The sequence below is a fragment of the Homo sapiens genome, chromosome 11 (assembly GCF_000001405.40).
Source record: "Homo sapiens chromosome 11, GRCh38.p14 Primary Assembly".
In the NCBI taxonomy this organism is placed as follows: domain Eukaryota; kingdom Metazoa; phylum Chordata; class Mammalia; order Primates; family Hominidae; genus Homo; species Homo sapiens.
Window position 1 is genome coordinate 14,836,568 of NC_000011.10, and position 19,130 is coordinate 14,855,697.

Below are 19,130 nucleotides of genomic sequence, written 5' to 3' on the forward strand. Positions count from 1 at the left end.
TAGGTGCCAAAAGTCTGTATTAGTTTCCTATTGCTGCTGTAATAAGTTACCAGAAATTTAGTCACTGAAAACCACACAAATTTATTATCTTACAGTTCTGGAGGTCAGAAGTCCAAAAAAGGCTTCACTGGAGTAAAATCAAGGCATCAACAGAACTATTTTTCTCCTATATACTCTAGAGGAGAATTTGTTTCCTTGCCTCCTCCAATTACACTCCTTGGCTCATGGCCCTTTCTTTCTTTCTTTCTTTGTTTATTTTGGAGACGGTGTCTCACTCAGTCACCCAGGCCAGAGTACAGTGGCTTGATCTCGGCTCACCGCAACCTCCGCCTCCTAGGCGGGTTCAAGCAATTCTCCTGCCTCAGTCTCCCAAGCAGCTGGGACTACAGATGCACGCTGCCATGCCTGGCTAATTTTTCGTATTTTAGTAGAGATGGGGTTTCACCATGTTGCCCAGGCTGGTCTGGAACTCCTGAGCTCAGGCAATCCGCCCACCTCAGCCTCTCAAAGTGTTAGGATTACAGGCGTGAGCCACTGTGTCTGGCCGGCCCATTCTTTAAAGACAGCAGCATAACATCTTCAAATTTCTTTTTGACCCTGACCTTTTGATCTTTCCAAGGAACTAGTGAAAATCAATCCAGCTCTGCAACCTTGGCTTTCTGTGCAGAACACACTTAACTGACAGTGACTCTCTTAATTTTAGTCTCTCTTGTAGTCTGGATAGGCTGAGAATTTCCTGAATTATCAAGTCCTTATTCCTCTTTGCTTACGAGTTCTCCCCCAATCTTTCTTTTTCCTCTCATATTTACTATAAACAGTAAGAAACCAGACTACACCTTCAATGCTTTGCTTGGAAATTTCCTCAACTAAATGTCTAAGTTATCATTTGTAAGTTTTGTATTCCACATAACTGCAACACCTAATTCAGCCAAATTTTCTGTTACTGTGTAACACGGATTCCCTTGCCTCTAGTTTCCAATAACATGTTTCTCATTTCCTTCTGAGCATTCATTGGCAATGACCTTAATGACCATTTTTCTATCTCCAGTCTGTTCTCAATGACTTAGGTATAGTATTCTCTAAGACAATATATGTTTTCTCTCTCATGCTGCACACTTCCTTCTGAGTTCTTACTAGCAGTGTTATGAGTTCTCATACATAGTGTTATGGAGCCAAGTATCTGTAGAAGAAAGGAAACCAAGTAGCTTTGGGAAACCAAATAGCTATTGCAATGGAAAATTATGATGAAAACTAAGACAAGAAGGACCATGGGATGTGCTGTCCTATTCTCACTGCACTGGAGAACTAATGGAAAATAAATGACAAGTTTAGGGCTGTAATTAATGGTTGGAGAACCAGGTAGCATCTCTGACTGACCTAAAAGAAACCCTTATTTTTTTTTTAATTTATTTTATTTTATTTTTTTTTTGAGACGGAGTCTCACTTTGTCGCCCAGGCTGGAGTGCAGTGGCGCGATCTCGGCTCAGTGCAAGCGCCGCCTCCTGGGTTCATGCGATTCTCCTGCCTCAGCCTCCCGAGTAGCTGGGACCACAGGCGCCCTGCCACCATGGCCGGCTAATTTTTTGTATTTTTAGTGGAGACGGGTTTTCACCGTGTTAGCCAGGATGGTCTCGATCTCCCGACCTCGTGATTTGCCCGCCTCGGCCTCCCAAAGTGCTGGGATTATAGGTGTGAGCCACTGTGCCCGGCCAAGAAACCCTTATTTTTTATAGTAATAGGATCATAACTTCTGAAAATAAAACCCAATGTCTGATCCTGAAGTTGCTTGAAATACAATGCAAATGAGTTTGTGGCCTCAGTAGACTTCTTATGTTAGAATTAAGATATCAAATGGGAAATAAAGGATCCTGATAATCAAAAAGAGATCATTTGGATAGATTTAAATAAATGTTGCCTTGTATTCCCCAAATCCTGCTGATTCTTCATGCTGGGAAGCAGTCATTTCTCCTTGTGTTGATTGCCTGAAAACCCTGTAATTACCTCACTTGAGATTCTTGATTTATAGGGAAATAATTCACTTCTAAATCCAACTCCACTGTCACTCATTTCTTTGAGATCCATAATTAAACTTAAATCCTGCAGATCTTAGGGGAATAAGTATTAAGTCTGAACACCAGAATAATTTACCAATTCATATTGGTAGAAACCTGGGGGATATATGTCTGAATAGACTTAAGGGTGTTAGACCAGGGAGAAAGGAAGATGTACCTACCAGAGATTCTGGAGTCAGTGTATTAGCTTGAGCAACTGGCAGTGGCTCTAACAGTTTGCCTCATGAGTTGTCTAAAGTATAGGCATCAGATGAAGTAGAATTGTTGAAACTCCTTGTATACTGTAGAGGAAGGAATCCAGAAGCTCACAATGTTAAGATGTTGAAATGGGGTGATCATATTCAATTTTATCACCCATCCCTAATTTTATCCCCAAGAAGTATCCTCCTTTATCACAGTGGTGAGAAATATATTTCAGCATTAATTCCTGGAGAGTGAAATGCTATGCTGGTCCTACAGCCAGAGTTAGGGGCCTATGGAATTTAGGTGATAAAAGGATTTTGGCCTGGGTTCATCTCATAATGGTAGTTAGCAGAACCACACCCATTTTCTGAATGTATAGTTTGAGTAAACATATTCAGCAACTGTCAGAATCCCTTCATCAATTCCTTGATCTTTGGAAAGAGGACCATCGTTGTAGGAAGGATCAAATGGAATCTCCAGGAATTGCCTCATTCTGGCAAAACAGTGAACCAAAAGCAGTATACCACATTCCTAGATGAGTTGCAGAAATCAGTGCTACTAGCAAATACTTAATAGATGCAGGAATGGTGATTTCCATCACATTGCTGTTCAACTTAATTATATAGCTTTTACACAGGATAAGTAGATCCTGGAAAATGATGGTGGATTATTCTCAATGTAATCAGGTGGTTACTCTAGTTGCTACAGCTGTTCCAGATGTGGTCTCTTCTTTTAATAAGTTAACCTAACTTGTGATATTTGGCACAGAGCAATTGATCTGGAGAGTTGTTTTTCCTCCATAACTCATAGCAAAATTCACAAGAAGACATATATTTACATCTGGCAGGCATCACAATACACTTCTATTGTCTTAGTTCTGGGCTATGTCAAGTCTTTCATTCTCTGTTATAATCTAGTCTGTTCCCGTAAGTTATCAAGGTCAGCCATTACATTGATGAGATAATGATGAATAGCTCCATTGAGCAAGAAGTAACAGATATCCTAGATGCCTTCATAAGAGTGCCAGAAGATGAGAGATGAGAAAAATTGCTAAAAAATTCAGAGATCTGTCATATCATTGAAGTATACTAGGGATCCAGTGGTCTAGGACATGTTGAGATATTTCCTCCGAGTTGAGGGATAACTGATACATTTGAAATTCTCTACATAAAGGGCTCTTTGGATTCTGAAGGCAAATTCATGACTTCTGAGTACTATTGCTCCAAAATACTACTGTAAGGCTGTATGTGCAACCCAGAGCAAGAGAAGCATGTGAAGCAATTTCTACTCGTTGTGCAAATTACTCTGCCATTTTTCCATCTGACTGCCAAAAGAAAATGTCTTTTGCAGATAGAGATCCCCTTTGGAGTCTCTAGAAGACCACTACAAGATAATTACAGTGTAAATACATGGAGTTTTGAAACAAAACCAGGCAGCTTTCCTCAAATAATTATTTTCCTTTCTGTAAAAGCAGCTAAATTGTTGTTGCACTTTGGTAGAATCTGAATACTTGGCCATGGGCACTAGATTACCATGTTACCTGCCCATAATGAATTTGGGGCCCTCTGATCCTCCAGTTCATAAATTTGTCATGTGCAGTAGTTCTCAATCATCAAGGGGAAGAATTACTTACAAGATTAGTTTTGAGTTGCTCCTAAAAGCACAGAATGTAAGTTCAGACTTCCATGACATTTATTCCTAATACACCAATACCTCTTCCTTAATCCATAGTTACGGCTTTGTGGGGAATTCCCTATGACCAGTTGACTTAAAGAGAAAGACCAGTTGCCCTGGTTTATAAATAGTTCTGCCCAATATGCCAGTACTTCCTCAAAGTGGATAGCTACAGCATTGTAGGATCACTCAAAGGTATCTTTTGAAAGGTAATAAGGTAAATCCTTCCAGTGAGCAGGTCAAGCGGTGAATCAGTTGGTCAAGAAAGAGACATGGCCAGCTGAAAGGATCTGTACTGATTTATGATCAGTAGCTAAGAGCTTCCTTGGATGCTTTGGGACTTAGAAGGAAAAATATTTTAAAATTGGAGTTTTTAATTGGACAAGGTGTTTTAGTTAGGGGGTTTATGGCTAACCTTCCCAGAGTGGAAGGTGGATATTTGTTTGCGATGTGAATGCTTACTATGATGCTTAATTTTACATGTCAGCTTGGCTGGGCAGTAGTACCTACATATTTGGTCAGACATTAATTTTAATATTTCCTTCAGGGTATTTTTTGGATGAGATTAACATTTAAATTGATGGACTTTAAGTAAAGCAGATAACCCTCCATAAGGTCGGTGGGCCTCATCCAGTCAGTTGAAGGCCTTAATAGAAACAAAGAGTGACCTCCTCTGAGCAAACAGGAATTCCACCAGTAGACAGCCTTCAGACTTGAACTGGAATATCAGCTCTTCCTTGGGTCTTTAGCCAATCAGCCCACCCTGCAGATTTTGGATTTGCCAGCCTCCTTAATTTCATGAGCAAGTTCCTTAAAATAAATCTCTCTCTCTCTCCCTCTCTCTCTCTCTCTATATATATATATAAAATATATATATGAATTATATATATTCATATATATATATGAATAACCCTCACTAATATATAATATTTGCCAAAGGCCATTCACTGCAAAGAAGGCTCTTGATGATCAGGTGGACAAAATGATCTCTTATCTTATAGCGATCAGTCTCTTTCCCTATGAACTCCAGTTCTTATTCCGTGGGTTTATGCACACAACAGCTAAGTGTATTAGTCTGTTCTGACATTGCTATAAGGAAATACCTGAGACTGAGTAATTTGTGAAGGAAAGAGGCTTAATTGAGTCACAATTCTGCGGCTGTACAGGAGGCATGGCTGGAGAGGCCTCAGGAAACTTACAATCATGGCTAAAGGTGAAGGGAAAGAAAACACCATGTTTCTCAGGCTGGTCTAGAACTCCTGAGCTCAAGTGATCCACCTGCCTCGGCCTCCCAAAGTGGTGGGATTATAGGCATGAGCCACCGTGCCTGGCCCATGCTGTTTTGATTACTATCGCTTTGTAATAGATTTTGAAATCAGGTAGTCTGATGCCTCCAGCTTTGTTCTTTTTGCTCAAGATTGCTTTGGCTACTTGGAATGTTTTTGTGGTGCCATATGAATTTTTTTTTCTATTTCTCTAAAAATGTCATTTTTTTTGTTGCTAAGTATGTAGAAATGCAATTGATTTTTGCATGTTTATCTTGTTCCCTGCTAACTTGATGAACTAATTTATTAGTTCTAATAGTTTTTCAGTAGATTTCTTGGGATTTCCTACATATACGAGATTAGGCCATCTGTGAATAAAGATAGTTTTGCATCTTCATTTCCAATCTGGATGTCTTTTACTGAGGCGTCCTTTTAAATGTGTCAGCAAATTTTTAAAATCACAGTTTTCTGAAACGAAGTGAATAAATGGGATTCTAAGTAGTTATGTTTCATTGCCCTTGCCAACTGTGTTCTTTTTTGTACTGTTATTTTTTTGGAAACATATATAAGCTAATGTTTTAAGATCCTAATATATAAATTCCAAGTAATTACTGAATTTAAAAGGAAATATTTTGCCATGTTTGATTTTTAAAATATATTTTAAAATTGTAGGGAAAGTCCAGAATGTGTATCACATAGGAAAATTCAAATTATTGACTCTGTATTGATATTTAAAGTCTTATTAGAAATTTGAGTGCTTACATATATCATTATGCATATAATTTAACTGCCTCATGTTTGCTTTTTATAATTATTTAAAAAATAGCTCTAAGCCGGTGTAGTGGTACATAACTCTAGTCCAAGCTACTCAGGTGGCTGAGGGCAGGTCAATTGAGATGAGGAATTAGAGGGTGTAGCGTACTATTACGATTGGACCTATGAATAGCTAGCTGCTGCACTCCAACCTGGGCATCATAGCAAGACCCCATCTCTAAAAACATAAATTTTAAAAAAATGCTCTAGTGTGGGCTATTCCAAAACTTAATTTTGATACAAATTATAAATAGCATGAAAATAATGAGATATATTTATAATTGTCACTAGTGTATTAAAGTCATGTTAAAAAATTCTTGTGATGGTGTATTGAGTCAACTAAAATAGGATTAAATAATTCTTTTGGACTTTAACAAGCCAGAGCATTATTTCTAGGTTCCCCCAATGAATACAACCAAGGAAACTTTGTACCTAATATCTGTGGTTTTATGTGTCTACTTTAAATATAGTTTCTTTTTCCTTCTTATACTTTTTAAAGGTTTCTTTTGCAAAAATAATAGAATGATCATCTAGATAGATAAAGCCACCAAAAAAGAAGAAATCAATGGTAAGATATTAAGACACCAGAAGCACAGTGTGGATAGTGAACATATTGTTTCTAAGAAGAGGATAAAAATAGAGTTATGTTGACTGAGATGTTCCCCAGTTTTCCATGCCTTTTCATTTTCCACTATTTTTTATTCCGTTATATTATATGGAGCTTCATGAAAGAAAACAAAAGGGAGATAAGGAGTTGTAGTTAGGGCTACAAATGAAATGTAATCTTTCCGGATGAGATTTGAAAAGCATCTATGTAGAGAAGCTTAGTTTGGTAAGATATTAAATTCCTAAATCTTTGTAATGTTTTCATCAAATTTTATTCTCTAGTATTGCCTTTTTCTGTTATATCATATATCCTGGCCATTGTATCTATCTAGTCATTAAACAGCAAATATTTAGAAAATCAGAGGTTTTTAAAATTATTATTTGCCTGAGTAAGCATCAAACTTGTGTGAGAATCCTATCACGTCTTGTAAAGTAAGCAACTTCAGGGTCAGATTTAACACTGTTCCTCTCTACTAACATGTTAAATTGGGAATAATATACTCTTTTAAGTTCATAGATTTTAGTTCTTACTTAAATCAGCAAATAAAATAAGTAAGCATATTACCTATGAGAATCCCCTCCATAGCAAAATTGTGAGGAATTTATGTGCTAATGCTGGTTTATTTTGCTATTTATTGTTTCTCAGATTCTGATGGTAGAATTAACCATGGGCGAATTGCTTATATTTCTTCGAAGAGCTGCTCTAATCCTGATGAGAGTTATGGCTGCCTGTCTTCAAACATTCCTGCATTAGAATTGATGGCTCTATACGTGGCAGCTGCCATGCATGATTATGATCACCCAGGGAGGACAAATGCATTTCTAGTGGCTACAAATGCCCCTCAGGTAGGAAATATTTTTAAGAACCTTTAAAGAGTAATTCTGAAATTTTCAGTCATGCTGTGTATCCCTTTATAAATCATTCAGTTGAATCATATGTCCAATCCATCTGACTTTAATACCCTACATTTTAATTAATTGGATAACACATGGCATTAATGTGATGTGTGCTAGGAAATTAGGGGAAGAATCAACTTCTTGAACTAGAAAATAATAGACAGTTTTTGAAACAACTCATTGTTTTGTGAAATTCTAGAGTCCTTGCTGTCAATATTTTTGTCTTTAATCAAACCAGCAAAACTCTGACTGTATTTAAGATTTCTGTTCCGCTGGAGCCAAGATGGCCGAATAGGAACAGCTCTGGTCTACAGCTCCCAGCGTGAGTGACGCAGAAGACGGGTGATTTCTGCATTTCCATCGGAGGTACCAGGTTCATCTCACTAGGGAGTGCCAGACAGTGGGCACAGGACAGTGGGTGCAGCGCACCGTGCGCGAGCCGAAGCAGGGCGAGGCATTGCCTCACTCGGGAAGCACAAGGGGTCAGGGAGTTCCCTTTCCTAGTCAAAGAAAGGGGTGACAGACAGCACCTGGAAAATCAGGTCACTCCCACCCCAGTACTACGCTTTTCCGACGGGCTTAAAAAACGGCGCACCAGGAGATTACATCCCGCACCTGGCTCGGAGGGTCCTATGGCCACGGAGTCTCGCTGATTGCTAGCACAGCAGTCTGAGATCAAACTGCAAGGCAGCAGCAAGGCTGGGGAAAGGGCGCCCGCCATTGCCCAGGCTTGCTTAGGTAAACAAAGCAGCTGGGAAGCTCGAACTGGGTGGAGCCAACCACAGCCCAAGGAGGCCTGCCTGCCTCTGTAGGCTCCACCTCTGGGGGCAGGGCACAGACAAACAAAAAGACAGCAGTAACCTCTGCAGACTTAAATGTCCCCGTCTGACAGCTTTGAAGAGAGCAGTGGTTCTCCCAGCACGCAGCTGGAGATCTGAGAACGGGCAGACTGCCTCCTCAAGTGGGTCCCTGACCCCTGACCCCCGAGCAGCCTAACTGGGAGGCACCCCCTAGTAGGGGCAGACTGACACCTCACACGGCTGGGTACTCCTCCGAGACAAAACTTCCAGAGGAACGATCAGACAGCAGCGTTCACGGTTCACGAAAATCTGCTGTTCTGCAGCCACCGCTGCTGGTACCCAGGCAAACAGGGTCTGGAGTGCACCTCTAGCAAACTCCAACAGACCTGCAGCTGAGGGTCCTGTCTGTTAGAAGGAAAACTAACAAACAGAAAGGACATCCACACCAAAAACCCATCTGTACATCACCATCATCAAAGACCAAAAGTAGATAAAACCACAAAGATGGGGAAAAAACAGAGCAGAAAAACTGGAAACTCTAAAAAGCAGAACGCCTCTCCTCCTCCAAAGGAACTCAGCTCCTCACCAGCAATGGAACAAAGCTGGACGGAGAATGACTTTGACGAGTTGAGAGAAGAAGGCTTCAGACGATCAAATTACTCTGAGCTACAGGAGGAAATTCAAACCAAAGGCAAAGAAGTTGAAAACTTTGAAAAAAATTTAGAAGAATGTATAACTAGAATAACCAATACAGAGAAGTGCTTAAAGGAGCTGATGGAGCTGAAAGCCAAGGCTCGAAAACTACGTGAAGAATGCAGAAGCCTCAGGAGCCGATGTGATCAACCGGAAGAAAGGGTTTCGGTGATGGAAGATGAAACGAATGAAATGAAGCAAGAAGGGAAGTTTAGAGAACAAAGAATAAAAAGAAACAAACAAAGCCTCCAAGAAATATGGGACTATGTGAAAAGACCAAATCTATGTCTGACTGGTATACCTGAAAGTGAGGGGGAGAATGGAACCAAGATGGAAAACACTCTGTAGGATATTATCCAGGAGAACTTCCCCAATCTAGCAAGGCAGGCCAACATTCAGATTCAGGAAATACAGAGAACGCCACAAAGATACTCCTCGAGAAGAGCAACTCCAAGACTCATAACTGTCAGATTCACCAAAGTTGAAATGAAGGAAAAAAATGTTAAGGGCAGCCAGAGAGAAAGATTGGGTTACCACAAAGGGAAGCCCATCAGACTAACAGCGGATCTCTCAGCAGAAACTCTACAAGCCAGAAGAGAGTGGGGGCCAATATTCAACATTCTTAAAGAAAAGAATTTTCAACCCAGAATTTCATATCCAGCCAAACTAAGCTTCATAAGTAAAGGAGAAATAAAATACTTTACAGACAAGCAAATGCTGAGAGATTTTGTCACCACCAGGCCTGCCCTAAAAGAGCTCCTGAAGGAAGCACTAAACATGGAAAGGAACAACTGGTACCAGCCACTGCAAAATCATGCCAAATTGTAAAGACCATCGAGGCTAGGAAGAAACTGCATCAACTAATGAGCAAAATAACTAGCTAACATCATAATGACAGGATCAAATTCACACATAACAATATTAACTTTAAATGTAAATGGACTAAATGCTCCAATTAAAAGATACAGACTGGCAAATTGGATAAAGAGTCAAGACCCATCAGTGTGCTGTATTCAGGAAACCCATCTCATGTGCAGAGACACACATAGGCTCAAAATAAAAGGATGGAGGAAGATCTACCAAGCAAATGAAAAACAAAAAAAGGCAGGGGTTGCAATTCTAGTCTCTGATAAAACAGACTTTAAACCAACAAAGATCAAAAGAGACAAAGAAGGCCATTACATAATGGTAAAGGGATCAATTCAACAAGAAGAGCTAACTATCCTAAATATATATGCACCCAATACAGGAGCACCCAGATTCATAAAGCAAGTCCTGAGTAACCTACAAAGAGACTTAGACTCCCACACAATAATAATGGGGGACTTTAACACCCCACTGTCAACATTAGACAGATCAATGAGACAGAAAGTTAACAAGGATACCCAGGAATTGAACTCAGCTCTGCACCAAGCGGACCTAATAGACATCTACAGAACTCTCCACCCCAAATCAACAGAATATACATTTTTTTCAGCACCAGACCACTCCTATTCCAAAATTGACCATATAGTTGGAAGTAAAGCTCTCCTCAGCAAATGTAAAAGATCAGAAATTATGGCAAACTGTCTCTCAGACCACAGTGCAATCAAACTGGAACTCAGGATTAAGACACTCACTCAAAACCGCTCAACTACATGGAAACTGAACAACCTGCTCCTGAATGACTACTGGGTACATAATGAAATGAAGGCAGAAATAAAGATGTTCTTTGAAACCAACGAGAACAAAGACACAACATACCAGAATCTCTGGGACACATTCAAAGCAGTGTGTAGAGGGAAATTTATAGCACTAAATGCCCACAAGAGAAAGCAGGAAAGATCCAGAATTGACACCCTAACATCACAATTAAAAGAACTAGAAAAGCAAGAGCAAACACATTCAAAAGCTAGCAGAAGGCAAGAAATAACTAAAATCAGAGCAGAACTGAAGGAAATAGAGACACAAAAAACCCTTCAAAAAATCAATGAATCCAGGAGCTGGTTTTTTGAAAGGATCAACAAAATTGATAGACCGCTAGCAAGACTAATAAAGAAAAGAGAGAAGAATCAAATAGACGCAATAAAAAATGATAAAGGGGATATCACCACCGATCCCACAGAAATACAAACTGCCATCAGAGAATAGTACAAACAGCTCTAAGCAAATAAACTAGAAAATCTAGAAGAAATGGATACATTCCTCGACACATACACCCTCCCAAGACTAAACCAGGAAGAAGTTGACTCTCTGAACAGACCAATAACAGGCTCTGAAATTGTGGCAATAATCAATAGCTTACCAACCAAAAAGAGTCCAGGACCAGATGGATTCACAGCCGAATTCTACCAGAGGTACAAGGAGGAACTGGTACCATTCCTTCTGAAACTATTCCAATCAATAGAAAAAGAGGGATTCCTCCCCAACTCATTTTATGAGGCCAGCATCATCCTGATACCAAAGCCTGGCAGAGACACAACCAAAAAAGAGAATTTTAGACCAATATCCTTGATGAACATTGATGCAAAAATCCTCAATAAAATACTGGCAAACCGAATCCAGCAGCACATCAAAAAGCTTATCCACCATGATCAAGTGGGCTTCATCCCTGGGATGCAAGGCTGGTTCAATATATGCAAATCAATAAATGTAATCCAGCATATAAACAGAACCAAAGACAAAAACCACATGATTATCTCAATAGATGCAGAAAAGGCCTTTGACAAAATTCAACAACCCTTCATGCTAAAAACTCTCAATAAATTAGGTATTGATGGGACGTATCTCAAAATAATAAGAGCTATCTATGACAAACCCACAGCCAATATCATACTGAATGGGCAAAAACTGGAAGCATTCCCTTTGAAAACTGGCACAAGACAGGGATGCCCTCTCTCACCACTCCTATTCAACATAGTGTTGGAAGTTCGGGCCAGGGCAATTAGGCAGGAGAAGGAAATAAAGGGCATTCAATTAGGAAAAGAGGAAGTCAAATTGTCCCTGTTTGCAGATGACATGATTGTATATCTAGAAAACCCCATTGTCTCAGCCCAAAATCTCCTTAAGCTGATAAGCAACTTCAGCAAAGTCTGAGGACACAAAATCAATGTACAGAAATCACAAGCATTCTTATACACCAATAACAGACAAACACAGAGCCAAATCATGAGTGAACTCCCATTCACAATTGCTACAAAGAGGATAAAATACCTAGCAATCCAACTTACAAGGGATGTGAAGGACCTCTTCAAGGAGAACTACAAACCACTGCTCAATGAAATAAAAGAGGATACAAACAAATGGAAGAACATTCCATGCTCATGGGTAGGAAGAATCAGTATGAAAATGGCCTTACTGCCCAAGGTAATTTATAGATTCAATGCCATCCCCATCAAGCTACCAATGACTTTCTTCCCAGAATTGGAAAAAACTACTTTAAAGTTCATATGGAACCAAAAAAGAGCCTGCATCGCCAAGTCAATCCTAAGCCAAAAGAACAAAGCTGGAGGCATCACGCTACCTGACTTCAAACTATACTACAAGGCTACACTAACCAAAACAGCATGGTACTGGTACCAAAACAGAGATATAGATCAATGGAACAGAACAGAGCCCTCAGAAATAACGCTGCATATCTACAACTATCTGATCTTTGACAAACCTGAGAAAAACAAGCAATGGGGAAAGGATTCCCTGTTTAATAAATGGTGCTGGGAAAACTGGCTAGCCATATGTAGAAAGCTGAAACTGGATCCCTTCCTTACACCTTATACAAAAATTAATTCAAGATGGATTAAAGACTTAAACGTTAGACCTAAAACCATAAAAACCCTAGAAGAAAACCTAGGCATTACCATTCAGGAGATAGGCATGGGCAAGGACTTCATGTCTAAAACACCAGAAGCAATGGCAACAAAAGCCAAAATTGACAAATGGGATCTAATTAAACTCAAGAGCTTCTGCACAGCAAAAGAAACTACCATCAGAGTGAACAGGCAACCTACAAAATGGGAGAAAATTTTCGCAACCTACTCATCTGACAAAGGATTAATATCCAGAATCTACAATGAACTCAAACAAATTTACAAGAAAAAAACACACAACCCCATCAACAAGTGGGCGAAGGACATGAACAGACACTTCTCAAAAGAAGACATTTATGCAGCCAAAAAACACGTGAAAAAATGCTCACCATCACTGGCCATCCGAGAAATGCAAATCAGAACCACAGTGAGATACCATCTCACACCAGTTAGAATGGCAATCATTAAAAAGTCAGGAAACAACAGGTGCTGGAGAGGATGTGGAGAAATAGGAACACTTTTACACTGTTGGTGGGACTGTAAACTAGTTCAACCATTGTGGAAGTCAGTGTGGCGATTCCTCAGGGATCTAGAACTAGAAATACCATTTGACCTAGCCATCCCATTACTGGGTATATACCCAAAGGACTATAAATCATGCTGCTATAAAGACACATGCACACGTATGTTTATTGCGGCATTATTCACAATAGCAAAGACTTGGAACCGACCCAAATGTCCAACAATGATAGACTGGATGAAGAAAATGTGGCACATATACACCATGGAATACTATGCAGCCATAAAAAAGGATGAGTTCATGTCCTTTGTAGGGACATGGATGAAATTGGAAATCATCATTCTCAGTAAACTATCGCAAGAACAAAAAACCAAACACCGCATATTCTCAGTCATAGGTAGGAATTGAACAATGAGAACACATGGACACAGGAAGGGGAACATCACACTCTGGGGACTGTTGTAGGGTGGGGGAAGGGGGGAGGGATAGCTTTAGGAGATATACCTAATGCTAAATGACAAGTTAATGGGTGCAGCACACCAGCATGGCACATGTATACATATGTAACTAACCTGCACATTGTGCACATGTACCCTAAAACTTAAAGTATAATAATAATAAAATTAAAAAAAAAAGATTTCTGCTCCTCCTATTTAGGCCCATTGTATGGCTAGAAAGCTATAATGGTTGAGAACTATTAATCTTTTTTGTTGTTCTCTTTTTTCCCTTAAGATTTGCCTTAATACCAGAGCTAAAATCTCTTACTTCTGAATATATTAGTGTATGTAAAAATTCTTCTGGTATATTATTTTTGTACCTAGTATAGCTGGTAAAATATAAAATTCCTTTAAGGTCACAATTTGCATGAAAGAGGCAAGAGTTCTCAACAAATAGATACTGTAATTGCAATAGCTTTAAACATTAGGACTTGGAACTAAATATGTGTTGTGTTTTGCTTTGTTTTGTTTTTTGAGACGGAGTCCTGCTCTGTCACCCAGGCTGGAGTGCAGTGGGGCATTCTCGGCTTACTGCAAGCTCCGCCCCCCAGGTTCATGCCATTATCCTGCCTCAGTCTTTGGAGTAGCTGGGACTACCACACCCAGCTATTTTTTTTTTTTTTTTTTTTTTTAGTAGAGACGGGGTTTCACTGTGTTAGCCGGGATGGTCTCGATCTCTTGACCTCGTGATCCGTCTGCCTTGGCCTCCCAAAGTGCTGGGATTACAGGCGTGAGCCACCACGCCTGGCCCTAAATACGTGGTTTTAAGTAGAATTTAGTGTGGTTGTGGTTTAAGCAGATTTTTGTGTGGTAGCTGGGTTTGTTTATGCTGGGGATTCCTGAAATGTGATCTGTGTGTTTCTAATTGGATGCTTTATGAAGAGTAGGTGCTCAGTGATAGTTGCTGAATTCATCTCACTTCCCACTTCTTTATTCTATGTTTAAACCTTGGCTCTGATCCTTTCATTTTCTGTAGCCATTTTCTGTTTTTCTTTTTTTTCTTCAATCTCTTTCATATACTCCAACTTTTTTAAAAATAGGAGATATATTCTCTTGAATTGTGAGCATGTGTGTTGGGGTCGGGGGAAGGCATGTAGGGAACTATGAATATGTATATGTGTAAATGGGTATAATGGGGTGTGTGTGTGTGTGTGTGTGTGTGTTAATGGGTTAAAAGGGCCATGTGATTCATTTATCCAATGAGACTTTATTAATAGCTCATGATTTCCAGAGGTAACTTTCTGATTAATTTAAATCTAGTTACTAGTAGTTGCCCACTTTCTAAGTATTATTTTTTTAAAAAAGTACCTTCTAAGTGGCACATATTTTCTTATTTGCAATACCATTCTGTAAGAATCAGATGCCCATTCTCTCAAACCTAGCACATCATAATCTTTGAAAATCCTAGTCCTTTGGTGAATCATAGACCTGAGGATTAATGGCATAGTGGAAAAAGCACTGGACGAGATTAAAAGTCCTGTCTTAGATTTCTGATTGCCCACTTATTAGCTGTATGACCTCAAATAAAGGTTTATTCCTCTGAACCTAAAAATAGTTATCTGATATGATTAAGGAGGTAACATATGGAAGGTTTTATACTGTTTCTGATGGCATGAGAAGCTCCTGAATCAGAAATCACATAGGTAGAAGTTACTTACTGTTCTAGTCCACTCTGCTGTTTTGTTTTGCTTTGTTTTGTTTTGAGACAGAGTCTTGCTGTGTTGCCCAGGCTGGAGTGCAGTGACGTGATCTTGGCCCACTGCAACCTCCATCTCCTGGATTCAAGTGATTCTCCTGCCTCAGCCTCCCAAGTAGCTGGGATTACAGGTGCCTGCCACCATGCCCGGCTAATTTTTTATTTGTAGTAGAGACAGGGTTTCACCATGTTGACCAGGCTGGTCTCAAACTACTGACCTCATGTGATCTGTCCGCCTCAGCCTCCCAAAGTGCTGGGATTACAGGCATGAGCTACCATGCCGGCCTACTCTATGTTTTTATTACAGCTTTCATTTTCGTAAAGTATATCTTCCCTCAAGGATGTTAGAAATGAGTGAATTCCAATGTTAACTGTCTCACATGAAGATAATTTAAAACAATGTTATATGAACAACTTATACAAGTTGCATACTCAATTGTTGTCCTAATCAAAATACAGTTGTGAAGTCTGAACATGATATCAATAATCACGTTATTTCTAACTTCTCATTGTTACGAATTGCCATTAGATGAAGCCATAGGAAGTGCTAGAATGGAAAGGAGATGGATTAGAGAGTTCAGCTGTGAAAATGCATAGCCTCTTACCTAGTCTCCTTGCTTGTTGTCTGCTCTCCTTCAGTCTGTTCTCAACATGTCAGCCAGAATGTGACCCTGTTTCAGTGTGTTGCATCACTCTGTTCCAGACTCTTTTGCCAGGCGCTGTGGCTCACACCTGTAATCTCAGTGCTTTGGGTGGCTGAGACATGAGGATTGCTTGAGCCTAGGAGTTTGAGACCAATCTGGGCAACATTTGAGACCCTGTTTCAAAAAAATAAAAACAAAATAGTAAACTCTCCAATGGCATTCACCTTACCCCTAGTAAATGACAATCATAAAATGTTCTGCAAGGCCCTACATTATTGGTCCCATTAAGTCTCTCTCTCTTTTTTTTTTTTTTTTAACTTACTCAAGTCTAGTCTCACTGGCTTCCTTGCTAATACCATCTCTGTCCCTTTCTGAGAGTGTTTGCACTTTCTGTTCTCCCTGCCCAGAGGGCTTTTCCTTTAGATATCCGTATACGCATTTTGTCACCTCCTTCCATCTAAAATTTCAAAATCCCCTTCTTTATACCATTATGCTCCTTCTCTGCTTTTTTTCCATTGCAGTGATCATTTAGGATACTATATATTTTGTTTATGTACTTTGTTTTTTATATGTATCTTCTCAATGGAATATAAAGTTCCACAAGGGCAGGGATTTTTGTCTTTTATTCCATAATACCTAGAATAGTGCTTGACATACAAAAAGCATTTAGTAAATATTTGTTGAATGTTGAAGGATGTCTGAATTCTTTGCTCTGTAGTACTCCTAGGTTTTCTGAAAAATGTTCTGTGCTTCCCAAAGTAACGAAGTTTATGAGGCCTTCTTCAACTAGCACCTGTGAGATAAGGACCCTTGTAAAAATCTAGGGCTTAATGTGGTTAAGTAACAAAGTAGGTTCTTTCATCTTTGGAAACTCAGTGGGTCTAGTCAGGCCATAATTAATGAAAGATATTATAGTTTCAGTGTAATATAGACAGTAGCATATAATACCACCAGCTGGGTCAAGCATTCTTCTTCATTCTCATGGTAAGGAATGTGTGCTAGAAAGATACAGGAGGATTCTTGCCACGAAAGAAGGTGATACATATAGTCAGGTATATCCTGGAGGAATGTCAGTATTAATAAGATTCTAAGAGATTTCTGAGCTATTTCCAAATGAGAAGTTGGCTGAAAGATGCAGGTTAGTGCTTGAGATAGTAAAATTTCTGGAATATTTTTATGAGACTGGGTAAAAGGAAACAAAATTTTAAGTTGAGATTTTTAAATGTTTTGTCTTCCAAAATATGGATTAAGATGACTAAACACATGAATCTGTTACCCCTTCTTCCTGAGAATGCATTAAAATAATAGTAAGTTATGAAGTTCATTACAACAGAGAGCAGTAAGAGGAGGATGGGTATTATCACCAGCAGATAAAAGTTTTTTTTATAACATTTCTGGAAAATGAAAAATGGATGAATATTGACAGATAAAACAAAAGTACCCAGCACAGCTGGAACCCCAGAGACTCCTGTTACCATTTGCTCCTGCTTGCTCTCCCTGTGCATACACACACCTTTATGCAGAGTGACTAAAACCCTATGTTTACCTCCAGGCAGAAAACTCATCTCTTAGATATTGAAGGAACTGCCTGGAGAGAGTAACAGTTCCTGGAGTGGGTATTAGTAGTCTAAAGTAAATTTCTCTCATTCTAGACATCTAATAGCTGGCACCCATTATTCTAAAGCAAAACTTGCTAGGTAACAAACCCTATCCACATTTACATAGTTCCCACTCACTCATCCCAAGGGGAGAGACTCCACAATAAAACATACATAACAGCAGAGAGATTACAACTGAAATCTAGAATTTTTTTTTTTTTTTTGTGAGACAGGGTCTCACTCTGTTGCCAGGCTGGAGTGCAGTGGCACGATCTTGGCTCACTGCAACCTCTGCCTCCAGGGTTCAAGAGATTCTCCTGCTTCAGCTTCCGAGTAGCTGAGACTACAGGGGCATGCCACCACGCCCAGCTAATTTTTGTATTTTTAGTAGAGATGGGGTTTCACCATGTTGGCCAGGATGGTCTCGATCTCTTGACCTCGTGATCTGCCCACTTCAGCCACCCAAAGTGCTGGGATTACAGGCGTGAGCCACCGCACCCAGTTTAAAATTCATTTTTCTATATACACAGAAAACCAAGGATCATCAGCCATGGCATTAATCAGAAGCTTGGAAAGAAAAGGCTAAGATGGAAAGAATAACTGTCACAGGGAGAATCTAGGGAATAGAGAAGCATCTAATTATTTTTTTTAAAATGTATTCTCAGAATTTGAAAAATATTGCATCCATAAAGTAAGAACAGGAAACTATAATAAAGGAACATCAGAAAACAAGTTAGGCTCTTAGAAACTAAAAATATTACTGCAGGAAATTTTAAAAATTCAATATAAGCATTGGAAGTAGAAGTCCAGGTAGTCTGTCCCAGGACATAGACCAGGAAGATAAAAAGAGAATATAGGGAAGGAGAAGATAAGATATAGGGGACTAGGTCAAGATGTGACTAGTGGAAGTTCTAAAAAGAAGGGAGTCTTTGGATTGAAGGGGCTCACTAAGTGCCAGGAAAGTTGAATAGAGAAAAAAATTCAAACACCACACATAGCACATCATGGAAAAATTTCAGAACACCAGAGATTTTGTTTAAAAAAAAAAAGAATTCCCGAGAAGATGAAAACAATACATCTATAAAAGAACAAAAATTCAACTGTCATTGTATTTTAGCAACAATAGATGCTAGACAATACTGGAATGAAGTCTCTAAAATTCTAGGGGAATTTATTCATTTATTTATTTGTTCAAGTATTTATTGGGTGCATATTGTGGGATAGGCACTATTTAGGCATTGTTATATTAAATAAAACATGGGAAAAAATCTTGCCCCTCATCGAACTTACATTCTAGTACAGCAAGAAAATAAATACATAAATAATGTGTGTGAGCAAGAGAGAGAGAGAGAGACAGAGACAGAGCAAGAGAAAGAGAGACCAAGAG

At 39.3% G+C, this 19,130-nt stretch overlaps 1 protein-coding gene and 1 long non-coding RNA gene across 10 annotated transcripts in view; one reads left to right on the forward strand and one right to left on the reverse strand.

The window, feature by feature from the left end:
* Positions 1–19,130, forward strand: part of PDE3B (phosphodiesterase 3B) — a 255,518-nt gene that overhangs the window by 192,764 nt on the left and 43,624 nt on the right. For all 9 annotated transcript variants that reach the window (NR_190763.1, NR_190764.1, NR_190766.1 and 6 more), the window contains one exon: positions 7,260–7,459. Coding sequence is in view for 5 of the 9 variants with exons in the window: in NM_001429700.1 (NP_001416629.1) it covers positions 7,260–7,459 (200 nt within the window). In the remaining 4 variants the exon portion in view is untranslated. The remainder of the gene's footprint in view (positions 1–7,259; positions 7,460–19,130) is intronic.
* Positions 65–16,143, reverse strand: LOC124902639 (uncharacterized). The gene is made up of 2 exons (XR_007062605.1): positions 16,107–16,143; positions 65–2,353 (listed from the first exon to the last, which is right to left on the reverse strand). It is a non-coding gene; the product is annotated as an uncharacterized LOC124902639 (long non-coding RNA).